The following is a 13064-nucleotide window of genomic DNA, read 5'->3' on the forward strand; positions in this document are numbered from 1 at the left end:
CTTTCCTGGCCTCTCAAATTTGAAGATGCCTGGGGGTCACTGGGGAATCTTGTTGAAATGCAGAATCTGATCCAATAAGTCTAGAATCCTGCCTCAGATTCTGGATTTCTACCAAGCTCCCTGGTGAGGCTGCAGGTTCTTAGGCCCCACTTTCAGAAGCAAGGGTGTCTTCTAGACTTCAGAATAGAGAAAGTTGAACAACAGAGACCATGTACCAGAGAGTCATCTATGGGCAAATTCGTTCGGAGGAAGTCCTTCTAGCTCCAGTTCAAATTCAAGGTTGTCTTTGCAGATTCCCAGGTAGTAAAAGGATTTTAGGAGTTCAATTATTGGGCAAGGAGGGGAAAGGATCCCAGATTTAAGGACCCCTCATCAATATCCATTGGGGCTGGGAAGAAGAGTGGCTGGTTTTCCATTAGGTAGGGGGCCCAGATCACTAATAATCAGGGCGATCTGGTGAGGCAGAAGATGCCAGCAAGAAATGCCCTGGAGGGCCTGAAGCAGCTGCTGAATTCCCCATGAGCAGCTTTTCACATGCTACCTGAAGGCAGCCACTGGGAGGTTTTGAAAGAAGATACTAAGTGACTCCGCACTAGCACTTGCCACACTAGATAACCTGGTGAGAGAAGCTGCTAATTGTAATAGAGGCAGAATGTTATCTGTACTGTTTAAAACAAGTTTTCCAGGGGGAAATGAGGACAGGCCAATGCAGCCAGAAAGCACTGGGTGTTGGCTTTGCAGAAAGCTGTTAGGAACAGGGTTGCCAGGTGTCCTGTTTTGAACTGGACAGCATGGTATTTTAGCTTCTAGTGTACGAAAATGCAGTAAATGCCTGTTTTTTAAAAAAGTCATTGTTGCGGCGGGGCGCGGTGGCTTACCCCTGCAATCCCAGCACTTTGGGAGGCCAAGGTGGGCGGATCACCTAAGGTCAGGAGTTCAAGACCACCCTGACCAACATGGAGAAACCCTGTCTCTACTAAAAATACAAAAAAAAAAAAAAAAAAAAAAAAAAAAAAAAGCCAGGAATGGTGGTGCATGCCTGTAATCCCAGTTACTCAGGAGGCTGAGGCAGGAGAATCACTTGAACCCAGGATGCAGAGGTTGTGGTGAGCTGAGATTATGCCATTGCACTCCAGCCTGGGCAACAAGTGCGAAACTCCATCTAAAAAAAAAAAATCGTTATTATGGCCAGGCGCGGGGGCTCATGCCTGTAATCCTGGCACTTTGGGAGGCTGAGGTGGGTGGATCATGAGGTCAAGAAATCGAGACCATCCTGTCCAACATGGTGAAACCCTGTCTCCACTAAAAATACAAAAATTAGTTGGGCATGGTGCCACGGTGCCTGTAGTCCCAGCTACTCGGGAGGCTGAGTCAGGAGAATCGCTTGAACCTGGGAGGTGGAGGTTGCAGTGAGCCAAGATCGTGCTACTGCACTCCTGCCTGGTGACAAGAGCGAGACTCCGTCTCAAAAAAAAAAAAAAAAATCATTATTATTTCACATGTGCTTTATATCTTATGTTTTGATTTATTTTTAATCAGCAGGGGTTTGTAATTTCAGCTTTTAGTTACTCCTGCTATTAAGTATTGAATGGACAAACACTACTTAAAACAGTGTTACACTTCTTTTGAAATATGAGGAATCCTTTTATTTATCTGTGTGCAAATAACATGTTTCAACACTACTGTTAAGTATTCTGTTAAAGTACAAGTCTATCCCTTAGGAGGGGAGGGTACACTCTACAAGAAGTTTTTTTCCCCAGTCTCTATGGGGTGGTTATTTCTGTAATCCTATTTATGGATGAAGCAGGGGAAATACAGTCATCACTGGGGCAATGATAAGAGCTACTGTGCACTGAGGGTTTACCATGTGCCTGTCAGTATGGGCAGTCTATATCCTCTACCTCCTTCCTCACAGAGATCCCATGGTGGGGGGGCCCAGTTACCCTCATTTTACAGAACAGTAAACAGGCTCAGGGAGATTCAGTATTGAGGCCCCAAGCCTGGAAGTTATCCTCCATTTCTCTTTTCCTCTTTGGCCCCTCCTCCAATTTATTAACAAGTTCTGTCAGCTATAACTCCAAAATATATTTTTAAAATATGACCTTTTTTCCTACCCTAGCTCAAGTCCTCATTATCTTTCTTGCTTAGATGTCGCATTAGCCTCCAAACTGTCCCCCGGGGCCACTCTTACCCTTAGTACCATCTTCCTTCCACACAATGGGCAGGGTGGGTTTTTTTAGTTGTTGTTGTTTGTTTGTTTTTTGAGACAGGGTCTAAGTCTATTGCCCAGGCTGCAGTGCAGTGGTGTGGTCATAGCTCATTGCAGCTTCAATCTCCTGGGCTCAAGTGGTCCTCTCACTTTAGCCTTTCAAGCAGCTTAGGCTACAGGTGCATACCACCACACCTGGCTAATTTTTAATTTTTTGTAGAGATGCAGTCCCGCTATGTTTCCTAGGCTGGTTTTTTGTTTTGTTTTGTTTTGTTTTCTGAGATGGAGTCTTGCTCTTTTGCCCAGGCTGGAGTGCAGTGGTGTGATCTTGGCTCACTGCAACCTCTGCCTCCCGGGTTCAAGTGATTTTCCTGCTTCAGCCTCCTGAGTAGCTGGGACTACCAGCGCCCACCACTATGCCTGGCTAATTTTTGTATTTTTAGTAGAGTTGGGGTTTCACCATGTTGCCCAGGCTGGTCTCGAACTTCTGACCTCAGGTGATCTGCCCACCTTGGCCTCCCAAAGTGCTGGGATTACAGGTGTGAGCCACCGTGCATGGCTGCTAGGCTGGCCTTGAACTACTGGCCTATAGTGATCCTCCTGCCTCAGTCTCCCATAGCGTTGAAATTACAGGCATGAGCCACCACTCCTAGCCCAGAGTGATCTTTCTAAACTGTATATCAGATGATGTGCTCTCCAATGGCTTCTCTTCATATTTAAAATAAAACCCAAAGTCTTTTCCAGGACTTACAAGGCCGTACCTGATCTGGCTCCCCATTGCTGCATGCAAACTCTTCATTCATTCATTCAACTAATATTTACTGAGGGCCTGCCATGTGCCAGACACTCTTATAGCTGCTAGCATATTGCTTCTGTACAGAGCTCACATTCTAGTGGGAGGAGACAGTAATCAAAGAAATACAAAGTATGTCAGGTGGCGATAAGTGGCATGGAGAAAAATGAAGCAGGAAAGGAGACCAGGGAGTGCTGTGAGGCAGTGAGAGGCCACCATTTGTAATAGGATGGCCAGGAAGACTTTCCCGTGAAGGTGACATCTGAGCAGAACAACTGAAGGAGAGGAAGGAGTGAGCCAGGTAGACTTTGGAGGAAGAACATTCTAGGCAGAGGGAAAAAAAAATGCCAAGTTGCTAAGGAAGAGGCGAGTTTGGCATGTTTGAGGAATAGCAAGGAGGCCGATGTGGCTAGAGTAGAGCGCACAGGCAGAAGTCAGAGATGGCTTGGCCATGGGTTGGGGAGATGGCAGACCTGTAGGAATCTGTTGGCTCCCAACCAAGGGACTTGGACTTGGACTAAGTGGGTGGGAAGCTGGGGAAGGGATGTAAGCAGAGCAGTGATATGATTGTGTAGAAGGACCATGTGGCTGTAGGGAGACAGGCTCAGCATCAAAGACAGAAACAATAAATCATGGTGGCATGGGCTAGAATGGTGGCCATGGAGGAAGAGAGAAGTGCTCAAATGTTGCTGAATGAATAGTGAATAAATGAACTTGCTCAATGATGGAGTCAAAATGCACATGCAGCAATCTGACTTGAGCTGCCTTGCTCTTAGTAAGGGTGAACAAAAACTAGGAGAGAGGGGCTGCTGCAGCCCCCTTGGAACTTTCCGGCTCTGAGATTTTAGCAGCTTTCCTTCTGTGGGGTATGCAGGGAAGAAGGAAAATACGCCTATAATGGAAGCTTTATTGGAAAAGGCAGAAGGTAGAAAAACATCTGGAAGGACAAAAAGCCCACCAGGCAACCAACCAGTCAACCAGTAACAATGTACAGGCTTGAGATTGGGGTATTGATCAATTGCCACTTAGGCCACACATAATCACTACCACACACAATCACTATGTGTGATTTTTTTTTTCCCTCAAGAGAATGTATTAAAAGGAATGCTTCGGAATTAAAAATAAAAATTTTAAAAATTACCCCTTTTAAAAATAAACTGAATAATTTGTAAAACTATGGAGAGTATGGTGATGAACACAAAGGCTATGACTTTAAGTCACCTTTTCTGGGAAAGCAACTGGTTTAGAAGATTAAACTATGCAAACAAAAGGCAAAGATTCTGGGCCGGGTACGGTGGCTCACGCCTGTAATCCCAGTACATTGGGAGGCCAAGGTAGGCAGATCGAGACCATCCTGGCCAACATGGTGAAACCCCGTCTCTACTAAAAATACAAAAATTAGCTGGGCGTGGTGGCACGTGCCTGTTATCCCAGCTACTCAGGAGGCTGAGGCAGGAGAATCACTTGTACCTGGGAGTCAGAGGTTGCAGTGAGCTGAGATTGTGCCACTGCACTCCAGCCTGGCCACAGAGCCGGACTCCATCTCAGAAAAAATAATAATAATAAAAAATTTAAAAAAGATTCTGGGCCGGGCGCGGTGGCTCACGCCTGTAATTCCAGCACTTTGGGAGGCTGAGGCGGGCAGATCACGAGGTCAGGAGATTGAGACCATCCTAGCTAACACGGTGAAACCCCGTCTCTACTAAAAATACAAAAAATTAGCCGGGCGTGGTGGCAGGCACCTGTAGTCCCAGCTACCCGGAAGGCTGAGGCAGGAGAATGGCGTGAACCCAGGAGGCGGAGCTTGCAGTGAGCCGAGATCATGCCACCGCACTCCAGCCTAGGTGACAGAGCGAGACTCCATCTCAAAAAAAAAAAAGATTCTGAACCATCCATTCTCTGGGTTGCACTTAAATTTTTGGCTTCATTAGGGATGACTTGGAGCTGCTATGCTTGTCATGCAAAATATATTCCTCCATGTTATTTTCCATTTGCTAATCAGTTGGATCCATTTGAGTCAAACTGTGCCTTTGTAGACTTGGTTGCTTCTTTTGGAAGCTTCTTTCAAAGTTTCTTTCTTTAGTTGCTTCTTTCAAACTAGGTTACAGAAACAAGAGCTGAATTAGACAGCTGCAGAAAGCAGATTTCTACTTTCAAATTTAAGATGAAAAATATGAATATTGAGAGTATTTCTTTCATGTTGAAATCAAGCAACTTTCTTGGTAAAATTCTATTTCTTAACGCAGTCAGTAATTGGTGGGTGAGGTGACCACATGCCCTGAGGAGGCAGGTAGGCCCATCTAGAGCAGGAGCTGGGCTCATGCAGATGGATCTTTGACCCTACCTCTGTTCCTCATAGTTGGATGACCCTGGCCAACTCACTTCACCCTGTTACTTTCCTTATCTGCAAAATTCATGTCTCCAAAATTCCCTTGTGGGGTTGCTGTGAGGATGAGTTGAAATGATGTGTGTGGTGTCACAGCATGATTTCCTTGATCCATGGAAGTTATTAAGTTGTTGGCAGTCCACTTCTTGCTTTTGTGGAGTTGTATTTTTGTTCTAGCTCTTTTGTTCACAGACGGGGTGACTATGTAATTTATCATCCAAACTGGGAATTAATAAATGAAAATGAAAGACTAAGTGGAGGAGAGTCTGGGCTCAAAGGTGTGGTCAGGACTCTTCCCAGGCAAACCTGAACATGTATGGTCACCTTCCCTAATACTAATGCGTAGTCAGACTGAGCAGCCTGTGGGAGAAAGCTGGCTGCCATCATTCTGCCACTCACTGCTGGAGGGACAACAAGGCAGAAGCAGTCTGGCGGGCCAAGCTAGACCTTGTCTGTGTCGGGAAGACTTACATCATGTGCTGGTAAAGAACTAACAACTGCTGGGCACAGTGGCTCATGCCTATAATCCCAGCACTTTGGGAGGCCAAGGTGGGAGGATTGCTTGAGGCCAGAAGTTTGAGACCAGCCTGGACCACCTAGTGAGACCTTGTCTCTACAAAAAAAAAAAAAAAAAAGTTAAAAAAAAATTAGCTGGTCCTGGTGACATGCACCTGTAGTCCCAGCTACTCAGGAGGCTGAGGAAGGTGGATCACTTGAGCCCAGGAGTTAGAAGCTGCAGTGAGCTATGACTGCACCACTGCACTCCAGCCTGGGCAACTGAGCAAGACACTGTCTCAAAAAATAAAAAGACTAACAACCTGGTCTTTGAAAAATATTGAGTGGCCAGGCACGGTGGCCCATGCCTATAATCCCAATGCTTTGGGAAGCCAAGGCGAGTGAATCACTTGAGGTCAGGAGTTCAAGACCAGCCTGGTCAACATGGTGAAACCCCATCTCTACTAAAAATACAAAAAATTAGGGTGTGGTGGTGGGTGCCTATAATCCTGGCTACTCGGGAGGCTGAGGCAGGAGAATCGCTTGAACCCGGGAGGTGGAGGTTGCAGTGAGCTGAGATTGGGCCATTGCACTCCAGCCTGGGCGACAACAGTGAAACTCCATAAAAAAAAAAAAAAAGGAAAAAAGAAAAAGAAAAAGAAAAGGAAAAATTATTGAGTGAAGAAGCCTCTTCCCTTCCTCCCCCACCACCTTATAATTTGGCAAAGGGCCTCCATCTGTGGGGCCTAGATTGTTTTCTAGGAGATAAAAATAGCCAGCATGTGTCAAGATAGCATCAAACCTGCAGGGGCAGGTGAGGACTCCAGAATGGGGTTATAAGCAGGTCTTTTTTTTTTGTGAGCCAGGCTACATGCCAGGCTTTATGCTACTGTGTTTATTTCTCTTTGTTACTTGCCAGCACAGTGATACTAGAACTTGCAGAAATTTAAGGGTAACCGGTATTACTTTAAAATACCTTTTCCCAGGCTCCCACTGCAGACCTTCAAAATCCATGTCCCCCAAGATTCTGTATATTTAAACTGGTGTCCAGAGCAGTTTCTATGACCTCAAAAGGTTGGGAAACATTGCCCTCATGTTCAGAAAAGTCCTTTAAACTTTTCAGCTTTGACTTAGTTGTGGAGAGATGTTGAAAAATGCCTTTTGTCATCCCATTGCCTGTACCTCAGATATGAAGGAAGAAATGACCCAAGGAGGCTTCGATGGAGCCAAAATCATCAGAGGGAGAGTCTCGGGAGAAAGATGAATCTCCAGGGCAGGGGCCAGGGTTTGTTGGTCTCTCTGCTTCTGGCCCCTGCAGTTACTCTTTTTCAGTGTCAACCTCAGAGGAGCTGAGCTTTATTTTTATTATAAAAGCAGAGATTATCTGTCACTATACTTTATCAATCCTTTCTCTTCTTTCCCCATCATTCTTCCAGAAAGAATTGTTCATACTCCTTGTCTCTGCTTCCTTAATCTTCATTCACTTCTGACTGCAGTGGAATGAAGACTGACCTGGGTAACCTGCCCTATGTGACTGTGGGCAGGTTAATGAACTACTCCAACCCTCAGTTTCCCCACTGTGACTTGTAAAATGAGGTAATGCAAGAAAAATTTCCAACATAGTCCCTGGCAGATAGTAAATACTTATTTTTTTTATTTTTATTTTTTTGAGGTGGAGTCTCGCTCTGTTGCCCAGGCTGGAGTGCGGTGGCACGATCTTGGCTCACTGCAACCTCCGCCTCCCGGGTTCAAGTGATTCTCCTGCCTCAGCCTCCCGAGTAGCTAGGACTACAGGCATGTGACACCATGCCTGGCTAATTTTTGTATTTTTAGTAGAGACGGGGGTTTCACCATATTGGCCAGGCTGGTCTCGAACTCCTGACCTTGTGATCTGCCCACCTCAGCCTCCCAAACTGCTGGGATTACAGATGTGAGCTACCTCGTCTGGCCAGTAAATACTTAATTTTAACCCTTTCCCTTTCCCTACCTCTGGCCCCAAAACAGAGATAAAATTTCTTTTCCTAAAATCATTAGTAACATAATTGATTTTTTTTTCTTTTTTTTTTTGAAACAGAGTCTTGCTCTGTCACCCGGTCTAGAGTGCAGTGGCGCAATCTCGGCTTACTATCACCTCTGCCTCCCAGGTTCAAGTGACTTTTTTGCCTCGCCTCCTGAGTAGCTGGGATTACAGGCGTGTGCCAACACTTCGTTAATGTTTTTGTATTTTTAGTAGAGATGGGGTTTCACCATGTTGGCCAGGCTGGTAAAATCATTAGTAACCTAATTGGAAAATTCTATCATTTTTCAGGGCTCAATTTACTTTTTTTTGGTCAACATTTAAGACTATACTCAATTCTTGAAATTCCTATTCTTTTCCTATATTTATGCCACTTTTTCTAGCTTTTCCCTCCTGGTTCCAAAAACATCATCTCTAGCCTGCCTAGTATCAGAGGCACTCCCTGCCCAGTGTCACATGGGCAGTCATTTAACAGCCATGATATCCTGGCCCCACATAATCATTTGCTCCCTAAATAGGGACTTGTATGAATAACCACACAAGGATTTCACTGTCTTTTTCCTTTACATACACCTTACATTTAGGTGTATTAATGAAATTATGCAGCCATTGAAAAGTATCATGTTGAAAGCTATGGAAAGATGCAGAAGTGATTAACATCTTCAGTAGATATAGTGCAATGCAAAATGCTACATGTTAAAAATCAGGGTGAGGTGCTATTCACCTTAAGAAGACACCATAAAGGCCAGGTGCAGTGGCTCATGCCTGTAATCCCAGCACTTTGGGAGGCTGAGGTGGGTGGATCACGAGGTCAGGAGATTGAGACCATATTGGCTAACATGGTGAAACCCCGTCTCTACTAAAAATACAAAAAATTAGCCAGGTATGGTGGCACATGCCTGTAATCCCAGCTACTTGGGAGGCTGAGGCAGGAGAATCGCTTGAACCCAGGAGGCGGAGGTTGCAGTAAGCTGAGATTGTGCCACTGCACTCCAGCCTGGGTGACAGAGCGAGACTCTGTGTTAAAAAAAAAAAAAAGAAGGCACTATAGGCCAGGCATGGTGGCTCAGGTCTGTAATCCCAGCACTTTGGGAGGCCAAGGCGGGCAGATCACCTGGGATCAGGAGTTCAAGACCACCCTGGCCAACATGGTGAAACCCTGTCTCTACTAAAAATGCAAAAATTAGCCAGGCATGGTGGGATACACCTATAATCCCAGCTACTTCGGAGGCTGAAGCAGGAGAATCACTTGCCCTTGGGAGGCGGAGGTTGCAGTGAGCCGAGATTGCACCACTACACTCCAGTCTGGGCAACAGAGGGAGACTTTGTCTCAAAACAAAAATAAAAACAAAAACAAAAAACAAAACAAAAACGAAAACAAAGGCACTACAGCCGCCTAACACAAAGATGATAGAATCTCATCCCTACGCTGTAGCCACACACAACCAAACCCAAGATCCCCCAAGGAAAACGGATGAATAGAGAACACTAGCAAATGAGAATTAAGCATCACTTTGCTACAAATACTCCAGTAAACTGGGCCTGAGCACTGCTTTGGGCTTCCAGACTGTAGGCTTCCTCTATCTCCCAGGCATAAATAGACTCTTACCTTAGTGAGAGCACATCAGACATTAGCCAAGTGTGGTGGTGCGTGCCTGTAATCCCAGCTACTTGGGAGACTGAAGCTGGAGAATCGCTTTAACCCGGGAGGTGGAGGCTGCAGTGAGCTGAGATCTCACCACTGCACTCCAGCCTGGTGACAGAGCGAGACTCTGTCTTAAAATAATAACAATAATAATAATAATTCTCTGATGACTCTTCAGGAAATTCTCCTCATTTTAAGAGTTATGCTATGTTGTTCTGTGAAAATGAAGACTACCAGCACTTCTGTGTAAACTCTAGGAAGAGTTTGACTATAGGAGTATGGTAATACTTGCTGTGTAAAGAAAGGATGGAAAGCTACTTTGTTTTGATAAAGTAAAATGTATTGAAGTGCCTATTTTGAGTAAATTAAAATTCAGAGTACTTACCATTTCAGCTGGTCTCAACAGCAAATTTTTAGAAGTCTGAAATACATCAATACCGTGAAATAGGAGACTCTTACTTCCTTAAGACATTCATGAAATCACTGGGTTAGGTGCTAGTAATGCAATGATGAGAAAACACACACACACACAAACACACACACACAATCCCAGCTCTTATGGGGTTTACAGTCAAGTGGGGAGACAAACATTAATCAAATAATTACACAAATAAATTTAACAAACTGCAGAGTGCATGATGGAAGAGCAGTATTAGATGGTATGAGATGATTAACAGGGTCTGTTAATTGGCCAGAAACATCTGGGAAAGCTCACCTGAGACTGTCAGTTGTGCTATGGTTGGAGGATGGGGATGGGAGGTGGCTGGTGAGGGCCTCGTTAGGGAAGGAACTAAGGGTGCAGGAGCCCTGCTGCTGGAAGCAGTATGAGCCTCGGGTAACACAAGGGCTAACCCAAATGCCTACACAGAGTAAGGATTGTGGGAGAGGAAGAAGTGACATGCCTCTCAAGTATTAAAATTCAGTTTTCATCATTTAAAAATAGAGTAACAATAGGCAAACAGTTTGTGTTTTTGACAGGGATTGTAAGAGTCAATAAATGATCACTGAACTCCTAGGAGGGTCCTAAAACTGAGCGTTTGAATTCCAGAATTTAAATGCTGGGTAGAAAAGGATGACCCAGCAAGTATTCCTGAGTCTGAAGAAGAAAAGCCAGGAGTGAGTTTAGTGTTACTAATGGCAGAGGAAAAGAGGGCCTTTTAAAAAGGAGGCAGTGGTACTCAGAGTTGAAGGCTACCAAAAGATCAAGGAAAATGAGAACTGAAAAAATATCTGTTGGAGTTAGCAACATGGAGGCCAATGACATTCACAAAATGCTTAAAATGCACTGATATTGTATAATTAGTTTCAACCATCTTCTGAATTATCTGTGTCTTTTGCCTGACTGGGAGGGGTGTGGGTTGCTTTAGATCAAATTCCACACTTCTGGAGATCTGGGGGCATTCTAGCAACAATCCAGATAGTGTTACAAACAAGACCATTATAAGATAAACACATTTTAACAAGGCATTTATTACCCAATGCTTTAATATTAGAGAGACTCAACTGGGCTCATGTTAAAAACAATGAAGCATCTATGTCTTATGCAATGCTGTATAGGAAGTATCTGATAAAGTCTAGATCCTCAGAACAAAAATTCTATGCATTGGTCTATTGTCTTTATTTAAGACAAAGAGTGTGCTTAAGGTACAGGTATCTACCAGCTACTGAAAACTGCAGAACCCCTATCCATGATGTATCCTTATTTATAGAATGCTCTAAAAATGCTCTAAAAATCTCCCATAAAACAGGATGAAAGTAGTTTTCTAATCCAAAATGTTATCATAATTGACACTTCTCAGGGTAAAAATTAGCACATAATGGTGAGTGAGCTCAGAAAGATTCAAAATAAACAATTTATACAAATCGAGCTCTCCAACAATTGCAAATATACAGTATCTATTAGTCTTTAGCTGAATTAATCATTTATTTTTTATTTTTATTTTTATTTTTGAGATGGAGTTTCGCTCTTGTTGCCCAGGCTGGAGTGCAGTGGAGTGATCTCGGCTCACCACAACCTCCGCCTCCCAGGTTCAAGTGATTCTCCTGCCTCAGCCTCCCGAGTAGCTGGGATTACAGGCATGCGCCACCACACCCAGCTAACTTTTTTGTATTTTTAGTAGGGACGGGGTTTCTCCATGTTGTCAGGCTGGTCTCGAACTCCTGACCTCAGGTGATCCGCCCACCTCAGCCTCCCAAAGTGCTGGGATTACCAGCGTGAGCCATCACACTCAGCCTAAATTAATCATTTCTTAAGGCCCTCATAAAGTTACTGTTTGTAAAAAATAAAATTCTACATATATGGGAATTTAGAAAAACATTTAATTGTCATAATTGAATGTAATTAATCATTGTTAAAATATCAAAGCAATAATACATTTCAGAGGATATATATGTAATGATTTTTAAGGCTCTAGTGAAGCATACTCTAAAATGTAGCTAAGCAATCTATTAACACCGGCCTTTTACAGAATACAGTTACAATCATTCTAACAAGATAAATTGGCTGGGCGCAGTGACTCATGCCTGTAATCCCAGCACTTTGGGAGGCCAAGGTGGGTGGATCACCTGAGGTCAGGAGTTCAAGACCAGCCTGGCCAACATGTCGAAATCCCATCTCTACTAAAAATACAAATAATTATCCAGGGGTGGTGGCAGGCACCTGTAAACCTTGGCAGGCTGAGGCAGGAGAATCGCGTGAACCTGGGAGACGGGGGTTGCAGTGAGCCAAGATTGCACCATTACACTCCAGCCTGGGTGACAGAGCAAGACTCTGTCTGAGAAAAAAAGAAAGATAAATTATACATATGATTGATATACAAGCAAATTATATGTATTCACACATATATAGTTTCCTTTTGGAAGATTTTAGGAAAATATTTGTCACAATTAATGATTTTTATATTTTATTTATAAATTGAGTACTTTGACAAAATATTATATTAAATGGTTCAGTAAGACTGAACCATATATGATGTACTTTTATATGTTATTGCATTTTTAAAAATCTGTAATTTTCAATAACAAATCTCAAAATATGAAAATAAATTTCTTGGTTTGGCACAGTGGCTCATACCTGTAATTCCAGCACTTTGATTGGCCAAAGCGGGTGGATCATTGGAGTCTGTGAGTTTGAGACTAGCCTAGGCAACATGGCAAAACACCATCTCTACAAAAAAATACAAAAATTAGCTAGGTGTGGCAGAGGGTACCTGTAGGCTAGGGAGGCTGAGGTGGGAGGATCCATTGAGCCCATGAGACCTAGGCTGCAGTGAGCTGCAACTGGGCAATAGAGCGAGAGCTTGTCTCAAAATAAATAAATAAATAAATAAATAAATAAATTTCTTCTCTTTAAATCTTGGACCTAGTCATCAGATCAATCTTTCTAAAATTTTGTTTTCATTCATGCATATTATTCAGTGGCTCCCCACTTCCTACAAAATGAAGTTCAGCTCTTTGTTCTGACATGTAAACCATTTCAATATTTGGCTTCAAACATTATTTCCAAAGCAGGCCATGCTC

General features: G+C 43.6%; 1 long non-coding RNA gene across 1 annotated transcript in view; it reads right to left on the reverse strand.

Moving 5' to 3' along the window:
• Positions 1-3893: 3893 nt before the first annotated feature.
• DLEU2 (deleted in lymphocytic leukemia 2) overlaps positions 3894-13064 on the reverse strand; it is a 142993-nt gene continuing 133822 nt past the window's right edge. The window contains exons 13-14 of the long non-coding RNA NR_152566.1: positions 9931-9966; positions 3894-5099 (exon numbers count right to left, since the gene is read on the reverse strand). This is a non-coding gene — a long non-coding RNA (deleted in lymphocytic leukemia 2). The remainder of the gene's footprint in view (positions 5100-9930; positions 9967-13064) is intronic.

Source organism: Homo sapiens, chromosome 13, assembly GCF_000001405.40.
Source record: "Homo sapiens chromosome 13, GRCh38.p14 Primary Assembly".
NCBI classification, from domain to species: domain Eukaryota; kingdom Metazoa; phylum Chordata; class Mammalia; order Primates; family Hominidae; genus Homo; species Homo sapiens.